The sequence below is a fragment of the Homo sapiens genome, chromosome 11, assembly GCF_000001405.40.
Source record: "Homo sapiens chromosome 11, GRCh38.p14 Primary Assembly".
Taxonomy (NCBI): domain Eukaryota; kingdom Metazoa; phylum Chordata; class Mammalia; order Primates; family Hominidae; genus Homo; species Homo sapiens.
Genome location: NC_000011.10, coordinates 124,662,698 through 124,673,151, shown reverse-complemented (window position 1 = coordinate 124,673,151; position 10,454 = coordinate 124,662,698). Strand labels below are relative to the sequence as shown.

The following is a 10,454-nucleotide window of genomic DNA, read 5'->3' as shown; positions in this document are numbered from 1 at the left end:
CTAAGAAATACAACCCCCTCACTAGCTCTGACTATTTAAGGCTCAGTTTTGATTTCTGGTACCGCTTACAGATATTGGTGGTGGGAAAATGTGAGTGGCATAGGGGAGGCTGGTGGCTCCCTTTGGCTGTTGCGCAGGTCAGATCTTGCCATTCGAATACCCTAGGCTGGACACTGGGTCACAGTATGGAGAAAGCAGAAGGTGCAATCTGTCTGATAATGCAAACTAAAGTGATAATGTTGGATTTCTTCCTTTCTGTTTCAAAACACTCAAAGAGTGGACCCCAGAGATCCCTGTTAAGAAATGATAGTTGGGGTAGGAGAACAGCGTGCAGAAAAATGACTCCTGCTCTACCTGAGAGCCGGAAAAGTACCTAGATTCAGACAAACTGCAGCCCATAAATGATTGTTCAGAGTCTAACAAAAGTGCAAAATGCTAGCACTCTGTATGCCATTTCCTGACTCTTATCTCCACTCAGTGACCTTTGAGATCCATCTTATGAGGTGGGGAAAAGATATTTTATTAGGTTTTCAGTTAAAGGCTGTTTATTTTAGTGTCAGTATTTTATCTCCTCCTTTGGGTCTTATTGTTACATCACCTTCATTAACATTGATCACATTTTTCATTCATTAGTACTCTACTTGGTTGCGTATCCTGACGTTTTTCCTTTAAGTCATTCTCCCTGTGCCCATGTTTACCATGTAATGCTTGAGATGTACAAAATTATATGTAACAATGACACAATAAAATGAACACCCATGAGAGCAGTACCCAACTTAAGAACTAGAACATTGCCAGTCTATTGAGCCTGCCATTGTGCTCCTCGCCAATGCATCCGGAGCTCCTCACCAGAGGCAACCACTGCCCTCTCTTCCCCATAACACTAATTCCTGTTTTTCTACTCCAGCCCCAAATGAAGGAAAAAACTGAAGACCTAAAAAATCCAAATGTTGGCTCACACCTTTAATCCCAGCACTTTGGGAGGCTGAGGTGGGCGGATCACTTAGAGTCAGGAGTTCAAGACCAGCCTGGCCAACATGGCGAAACCCCGTCTCTACTAAAAATACAAAAAAATTGGCCAGGCGCGGTGGCTCATGCTTGTAATCCCAGCACTTTGGGAGGCCAAGGTGGGCAGATCATGAGGTCAGGAGTTCGAGACCAGCCTGGCCAACGTAGTGAAACCCCGTCTCTACTAAAGATATCAAAAAAAAAAAAAAAAAGAATTAGCCAGGTGTGGTGGCACATGCCTGTAATCTCAGCTACTCGGGAGGCTGAGGCAGGAGAACCGCTTGAACCCCAGAGGCGGAGGTTGCAGTGAGCTGAGATCGCACCACTGCACTCCAGCCTGGGTGACAGAGCAAGACTCTGTCTCAAAAAAACAAACAAACAAGAAATCAAATGGTAAATGTATGTGTCTTGTGTTTGGCACAAGGAATGACCAGCCTTGCTCTCTTTCTCATTCTCTCTCTCTTTTTTTTTGTCCATTGCACAATTCCTTGATGTTCCACTGTCTACTCTAATGAACTTAGAATTTAAACTTTACAAAGATGAGGAATATGATTTTTTCTTTGATTTGCCACAAGTATCTAATTTCGGCAAAGTGGGAATTTCAACTTTGGAATCAAGTGACTTGTTTTCTAACTTGTCATAAACTGTGTGATTTGAGACCAAAGAACATTAATGTTTGTGGTGTGTTTAGCACTGTGCCTGCCACAGGTAAAGTCTCTAGTAGAATGGAAGCTCCCTGTGGGCAAGGATTTTTGCCTGCTATTATTATTATTATTTTTTCATCGTTATATCCCCAATGCTTAAAATAGTAGGCATCAATAAATATTTGTTGAATTAACTAATGAACATGCAAGCTATTTTAAAAAATTGTTTCATCTGCTTTGGTCTCAGTTACTTGATCAGTAATATGATTATACTTCTTGATCAGTAAGTAGCGTGTTTATACTACGATTATGAAGATCCTTTCCACCTCTAAAACTCTTTAGCCCAGCACAGAGTCATCCACAAAGATGTTCACTAAGTGTATGTTGGTGAAAACAGACAGACTTGGGAAGGTATTTCCCCTAGCCTATGGACTACTGACTGCACACAAATGTGCAAGCTGCAGCCATTCCCCTACCCCCACCCTCTCTCTACTTAGCTCTTATTTATGTCTGTGGTTTTCCTTTTTTTGGTTCCATATGAAGCACCTACCCAAGACAAGGCCCTCCCACACATGTGCCTCCCCCTTCCCTCCAGCAGGCTGCCAACCTGCTTATGCAATTCTGGGGCGTTGTATTCTTTTCTTAGAGCATTTTGCTCATGGTAACCGTGCATCTCCAGCCCAGTAGGCCTTCTGGGTGATCTTTCATTGTCATGTAGGTTTCTTGATCACACTAGCTCATAAGAGAGCGCTGAGGATTTTTAGGGACTGGGCTGTTATTCCAAGAGCAGGATAAATAGGCCACGGAGCTGTGTAGGCGACTCCATTAGCTGTGCTGCCCTGTTAAGTATAGCCGAAGGGGCCCTCATCATTTGTAGCTTCCAGGGAGGAAAATGTCAGCCTTGTTAATTCTGGTTCTCTTTTCTGCCTATCATTTTTGTTTAAAATGCTTAAAAAGATCTAAATTTTGTTAATTATTTTAGGTAGTTTGGGGTCTGTTTTATTCAGATAAATTGGGATATAATTTGTTTTATTTTTTTCCTTGTTAAGTTTTGATGAGGAACACGCTGAGATAATTTGGATGGATGTTTGTATTAATAAAATACTTTTATATAGGCTGGATGTTAAAAATAGGAATGATGTCGTTAAAGCGAGTTCTTATTCAGTCTTGTTAGTGACTCTCTAGAATAGAATCCAGTTTCTAGTGTGCTTTCTCTTGTCCTTTTAGTATAATTTAGCTTGTGGAATGGGTAAAATTGTGACAGAAGACCTTTGTTCAGACATGTTGACCTTCTATCTCTCACTGACCTTATTTATGTGTCTTGATTTATTTGAATTTACCTGAGAAGGAAGCTGACTTGTCATGAGTATTTATAAGGGCTTATTTAGAATTTTTGATGCAGTACACTGGGTTGTCAAAAAACCATGATAAGGGGCATTATTTGAAGGAAATTGGCATTAGTGGCATAGAAAAGGGGAGATAGAGAAGGGGAAAAAGATTAGGGAAGGCTGTTTGGAGAGAGGCATGCTGTTTTATTCCCAGTCATTAGGAGCAGGTGTGGTAATGGAAAGTAGGGAAAGGAAGTGGTTTATTTTTCTCATAAACACCATCTATAGGTGCATGAAAGGAGCATTTTAGTGATTTTGCGGGAGAGAGCCCAGCGTTAGGGCCAAGCCCAAGAGCAAAAAAAGATCAAGAGCTCTGAAGGAGAGGGAAGACTATGGTCCATTGGTTGCCTTGGGCTCTGGGAATTTTCCTTAGTGGTCATCATGTGCTATGATGCATACTGTTGGAAACTGTTCTTGTTATGTTGCTTGCCTAATTAGGAGGAAGAAGAGCCAGTTTTAGACGATTAAAGGGACTTAGTATGTTAAAATTCTCTTGCATAAAGACTGTATGTTCTTTGCTGTTTCACTTGATCCAGTTGGTGCTATATCTCTCCGATGATGCTTCCCTCAGTGTTTGTTAAATTTTTTAGGTATTGGTTTTCGCTTTGCTTCATACATCAATAATGATATGGTGCTGCAGAAGGAGCCTGCTGGGGCAGTGATATGGGGCTTCGGTACACCTGGAGCCACAGTGACCGTGACCCTGCGCCAAGGTCAGGAAACCATCATGAAGAAAGTGACCAGTGTGAAAGGTAAGGCAGCCCATCTTCCGTTCAGCTATTGCCCTCTTCTGCCACCTGCTGGATTATCTGAAAATGAATGCTAATGCTGTAGCTCACATTATCCATCCGTCCCTACATCCGTCTGTCCATTCATCCATAAAAGTTATTTGAATATTTGCCATGTGCTTAGGCACTGAGGATACAAACAAAAATAAGACTGAGTCAAAGTTCCTGTTCTCAAGGAACTTACAGAATAATGGGAATAGATACCAAGTTATATAGGACAGCGTGATGAATGCTATGATGAAGGTACATGTGGGGTGTCTTGGGGTACAGAGGAGAAACATTGAACTCAGACTGGGTGGTAAGGGAAGGTTTCCACAGAAGATGGTATTTGAGCTGAATCATATATAGAGGAGAGGCAGTATGGAGGAGAGGGTAAGAACTCTGGTAGTCCTTGCCCAACAACCTTCTTACCTTCTTACCTTAAAAAGTCTTAAAACCCAAGACTAGCACCATGTAAATCCCATTTCTTATTTTTAAACCAATATATTAGAACCAGCAGTTCTTTGGATTTCTAAGTCAGCATCATTTACTGAGAGTGCCATAATGTAAGAATGTAAGACTTCATATTGGTAGTCTAAGGCTCTGGAAGTCACTGCTTTCAGGCCCTGATTCTGTCATTTATACGGCTGAATAATCTTGGACATGTAATATAACATCTCCATGTCTCAGTTTATATGTGAAATGGAGATCGTCATGATACCTACAGGATTACTGTGAGAATTAAACGAATTAACACTGGTAAAGACTTGTAACAGTGCCTGGCACACAAGTGCAGAGTCAGTTTTAGCAGTCATGATTGTAACTATTACTATTATTATTTAGTCAGTCATTCAAATATCTATTGAGAGCCTACTATGTGCCCGATACTGTGCTAGGTACTGGTGATACAGTGATGAGTAAAACAGATATGTCCTCTTCCTTAATGAGGCATGCAGGTTAGACAGGAAGATAGTAAGCAGTTATCGTTAAGTGTGATAAGTGCCACAGTGAGGAAGAACAAGGTGCGATGGGAGTGCTTTGTAGAGAGTAGGGATAATTACGTAGTCTGAGGCTCATCTTGAGAGGTGAGCAGGGCACACTGGGTAGTGAGAATAGCCTGGCAAAAGCATGGAGGCCTGAGTGTACCTGGGCCATGGGAGAGATGCCAGGCAGGTTGGTTGGTCTGGAACACTGGGGGGTGTGTGACTGGGCAGATGACAGGAGATAGGTTGGAAAGACAGGGAGACTTGTTTGTCATTGCTAAGGAGTGTATGTTTTATTCTAAACGGACAGATTTTTAAACAGCAAAAGAATATGATAGATATTTTAGAAAGTTCGCTGTGGCAGCACTGTGGAAGATGGATTGGAGATCAGTAAGATAGAGGTGGTGGGCAGGCTGCTGTGATATCCAAGCAAGAGATGATGAGGGTTTGACCTCATAGAGTGGCTGTGGGGATGTTCAGGAAGGTGAGAATTAGCAGTTTTCATGAGCAGGGAGATATTACAAAGGAGTGAGTCTCTGTCTAGAAGAGATAAAGATATAGAAGCCGGTGTGGAGGAGGCAAAGCTAGAAGTTATGGGATGAAGGAAGGCATGCTCAGGGCTGGATGTTACAGATAGCGCTATAGCTGTGTGATGTGGAGGTGCGAATGAGACAGATGAGGAGGCTGCTCAGAGGTGGAGGTGGAGTTCAGGTACAAATTGGTGGTTTGAGCAATGGCTAGCATATATATGTGACAGGGATGCTTGTGGGAATTGTACTGGCCCCCGAAAGCAAGGATTGTCTGGTTGGTTTTATCAGTATACAAAACTGATGATCCAATCCCGAGTGATCCAGACCCTGATGCAGTCTCTTCAAAATTCATTTCCATTCAGCAAACATTTAAAAATACTATATGCCAGGCATTGATGTAAGGTAAGTGCTTCTAATTCTTGGGTTTTAAGACTTTTTAAGGTAAGAATGTTGTTGGGTAAACTAAAAGACCGAAAGGGAAGCTTCAGCTGATTGAGACATGCTTCTCTGTTGGATCTAAATGCCGTCAGTGACTTGCAGGATGTCCTGAAAGTGAAGGATTCAAGGGACTCTCAGTGCTTTCTGTTTGTGCTGGGTCACCTTAGAAATAAGGAGCATTGTGTACAAATAATGGCACTCTCAGTAAATGATGCTGATTTGGAAATCCAAAGAACTGCTGTGGTTTAAAAATAAGAAGTGGGATTTACATGGTGCTAACAATTAAGTTACCAATAATATTTAGGTGACAGAGATAACACAGTGCTGTAGAAATACATACAGAAAGCATACAATATTACATAGCATTTCAGTTTAAAAAATCCTTTTGCATTATTTTTAGAGTTTTTCTCCCTTCATGCCTGTTTCAGAACTAATATTTGAGGTGGGCAGAGATGAGGCAGGAGGCTAGGTGGAATGAAAGGTAATAATTAGGAGGGAAGCCTCCCTTTTCCTTTACAGTGATTGTGAAGCTGCTCATTTATCTTGAGTTTAATTTGATAAAAGCCAAGTGAGGGCTTACTATGTCTAAAACACTGAGCCAGAAACCCTAGGAAAGTATAAAGAAGAATACAAATAGTGCCCATCTTTCAAGAACTCACTGCCCCATTCCATCCTTACACATTTAGTAGTTTAGGCTCAAGTAATGCTCCAGCTGCCTCACTGCAAAGGGATGTATCCTTCATTTGTAGTTAAAATAACCAGCAGCAACTTAAGAGAATTGAGTGATTCATGGATACTGATGATAATTTCACAGGAAAAGAGGTTGATGTTATTGGTGGTGGTGGGGACCTATTTATTAGACTTTCCACATTTACTTGGTAGAAAAGGGGAAGGTATTTGAGTTTAGAGAGATCTGCAAACCTGCTTCAATGGGTATCTTGCTTTGTTCTGCCCATCAAGCAAAATAGATGAAGTGTTAATTGGAGTAAAGGAGGTAGACATGTAAGAAATTTCATAGGCAGAAAATGTCTCTCAAAAGAGATACCACAGAGAATATTGGAGGGTGGATTTCTGGTTTAGATTTTAATGAGGACTCTGAGATTTTCAGCCACATTACCTCAATTTGCTGCTTTGTCTGCCTCTGGTAATATTTAACTTATTACCCATAGTCCCCTAGGTACCCAGAACAAAGTAAGATATAACAGCATAAAGGTTTTTGTCCAGCAGACTGACACTTAGACATTGGGAAAATTAATACCTGAGGGATGATTGGCACCATGGTCAGGTACTGGGTTGGTTCAAACGATGTTGTCAAATGATGTAAGAGGATTCTTTCAGACACAAGGAATACGAGCAGGGAAAACCAGGCATATCCTCTCACTTTGACATACATGGTAGGGGTGTGTGTATGTAGGTGATAAAATGAGGGTGTGTCTGTCTATATTTTTGTCATCATGATTGAGGTAAATAGATATATTTTCTCTACCTTAAAATAATACAGAAGCCTAAAACCCTCCCTGCCCCTGGTTGGCATGCATACCAATTTTCTTTTTTTCTTTTCTCTTTTTTTCTTTTGAGATGGAGTCTTGCTCTGTCACCCAGGCTGGAGTGCAGAGGTGTGATCTCGGTTCACTGCAACCTTTGCCTGCCAGGTTCAAGTGATCCTCCTGCCTCAGCCTCCTGAGTAGCTGAGGTTACAGGCACCCGCCACCATGCCTGGCTAATTTGCATACTAGTTTTCTATGCTACATAATAAATTGCCACAAACTTAGGTGCTTAAAACAACACGCTTTTACTATCTCACAATTTCTGTGGGTCTGAAGTCTGGTCATGGTTTCGCTGGATTCTCTACTGAGGGTCTCACAAGGCTGAAATCAAGGTGTAGGCCAGGCTGCGTTCCCACCTGGAGGTGCGAGTAGGGAGTTACCTGTTTCCAAGCTCCCTTACGTTGCTGGCAGAATTCATTTAGGTGTTGAGCTCATGGCAGCACCTCTGCTGTTTCACATCTCTGACCTCTATATCTTCTTTGAAAGAGCTCACCTTATTATGTATGCCAACCCAGGAAAATCTCAATTTTTATTAACTTAAAGTGAAATGATTAGGGACTTTAATCACAACTGCAAAATCCCATCTTTTCCATATAACATTATCTAATCACAAGAGTGACATCTCATTGCCTTTGCCATTTTCTGTTGGTTGGAAGCCAGTCACAGATTCTGCCAGCCACACAAGCATGTGACTTTGGGGTGTCACCTTAGGCTGTGTCTGCCACCACAGGCTATAGTGTAAGTAACTTGCATGAGCAGTTTTATTGATACAAAAGCACTTAAGCTATTTTTCCTTTGCATTCATATTTGATGGTGGAGATGAACTTCAGGTTACAACAGAATAAATGTAGTTTGGTGAGGGGCAGTGTAGGCAGTAAGGCCTTCTTGACTTCCAAGCCAGTTCCACAAACCACTGAGCCACTTTGCAGCCAGTGAGGAACTAGGGTTCTGTTGGGTGGGGGTGGGGGGGAAGTGAACAGGGGCGCTTTTTTCATTTCTAGGTTGTTCTTCTCGGGAAGGGAACGGTCATGGATAACTTTCCTTTTTCTCTTCTTGGCATCAGATTTTGGCACAATAATAGAACAAAATAATTAACATCTGATATGAATGGCAAGAAGAAAAAACAAGAAAGCACTTTATGACTATGTCTCTAGACAAATTATTTTCATTTTTTCCATTGATTGTTTGCTTGTTCTTCCCATTATGAGGTGGGAGTTAATTGGGAGGTGGAGAGAAGGTGGAGACAGAGAGTTTTTCACTGCCCTTGGCTGGAATGTGAGAAGAAGAGCAACAATAAGAAATAGGCCACTAGAGGCCGGATGCGGTAGCTCATGCCTATAATCCCAGCACTTCGGGAGACTGAGGTGGGTGGATCACAAGGTCAGGAGATCGAGACCATCCTGGCCAACATGGTGAAACCTCGTCTCTACTAAAATACAAAAAGAAAATTAGCTGAGCGTGGTGGTGCGCACCTGTAGTCCCAGCTACTTTGGAGGCTGAGGCAGGAGAATTGCTTGAACCCGGGAGGCAGAGGTTGCAGTGAGCCAAGATCGCGCCACTGCACTCCAGCCTGGCGACAGAGTGAGACTCTGTCTCAAAAAAAAAAAAAGAAATAGGCTACCAGAAATGCTAACCCTAGACATGAGAACATAAAGCCCTAGTCAATTTGCATGGCTCTCTTGTCAGTGTAACCCAGGGATGGGGTTTACTTCCTACCATTTAATTGATGGAGTGCCTGGCACACTAAGCACTCTAAGTAGCTGTATAATGAAGGAAGGAAATTAATCTTCCTAGGTGGTACGAGAAAAAATGCGAGGAAGCAGAGATTTGAATGCACTGAAAGTGAGAATTTACAGAAACCTGGGCCTGGCCTGGAATAGCTAATAGCAAGTGATTAGGGCCCAGAAGAGGGATGCAGAGCAACTTGTTGGGAAAGCTGATCTCTATCAGCAGAAAGGCAGCTGGATGGTAAACTCTTTGTGGTTAGTGGCTCAAGCTTCTTATTTGGACTCCAGCTTATGGACTTCGTGGGTCAACACTGTTTCTGAAAACTCTTAACTGGACTTAACTGGCCTGTGGTGAGCTCCATTTCAACCAACCAGTCCTGAACGGATAAGCTAAGGACCAGCCAGTTCTTATGAAACATGGTGGCTTTTGCCTTTTTAATCCCACCCTTGCTTTTGGTCTAAGAAACAGTCTTCACAGGTGCTGCTGTCCTTTGTATATGCTTACATAGGAGTAAATCCTTATTTATTTTATTTTATTTTATTTTTGAGACAAAGTCTCGCTCTGTCGCCCAGGCTGGAGTGCAGTGGCACAGTCTCGGCTCACTGCAAGCTCCGCCTCCCGGGTTCACACCATACTCCTGCCTCAGCCTCCCGAGTAGCTGGGACTACGGGTGCCGCCACCATGCCCAGCTCATTTTTGTATTTTTAGTAGAGACAGGGTTTCACCTTGTCAGCCAGGATGGTCTCGATCTCTTGACCTTGTGATCCGCCTGCCTCGGCCTCCCAAAGAGCTGGGATTACAGGCGCAAGCCACTGCGCCCGGCCAATCCTTATTGTTTTAAATGAACTGTCTCTGAGTTGGTTTAACCATTAGTAACCTCTCTGGAGTGTATCAAGTTTTCCCTGCCTTGCCTGGAAGTTAACTCTTCTTAACACTTGTGTTATTGTCAGAGTTTACATGACTTTTTTTTTTTTGAGATGGAGTTTTGCTCTTGTTGCCCAGGCTGGAATGCAATGGTGCAATCTCAGCTCACTGCAACCTCCACCTCCTGGGTTCAAGTGATTCTGCTGCCTCAGCCTCCGAGTAGCTGGGATTATAGGCATATGCCATCACACCCTGCTAATTTTTGTATTTTTAGTAGAGACAGGGTTTCACCATGTTGGCCAGGCTGTTCTCAAACTCCTGACCTCAGGTGATCCACCTGCCTCGGCCTCCCAAAGTGCTGGGATTACAGGCATGAGCCACTGTGCTTTGCCAGAGTTTACTTTTCTTTTATCAAGTAGGAAAGGAAAAAAAGCTAGAAACTAACATCTTGAGGACTAGCACAGAAGGAAGTTTTCTGAGGTCTTTGAGGAAGTTGGAAGGAGGTTTCTCTGGGAGGCAGTTCTTGGGAACAAGGCTCGGGTCTTGATGCCTAGTTC

The 10,454-nt window shown here is 42.6% G+C and overlaps 1 protein-coding gene across 3 annotated transcripts in view; it reads left to right on the top strand.

Annotated features, from left to right (window-relative positions):
- The window catches only part of SIAE (sialic acid acetylesterase), a 43,191-nt gene that overhangs the window by 3,152 nt on the left and 29,585 nt on the right, over positions 1-10,454 (top strand). For all 3 annotated transcript variants that reach the window (NM_001199922.2, NM_170601.5, XM_047427133.1), the window contains one exon: positions 3,631-3,792. In NM_001199922.2, coding sequence (NP_001186851.1) covers positions 3,669-3,792 — 124 coding nt within the window. In that variant the 5' untranslated portion in view covers positions 3,631-3,668. The remainder of the gene's footprint in view (positions 1-3,630; positions 3,793-10,454) is intronic.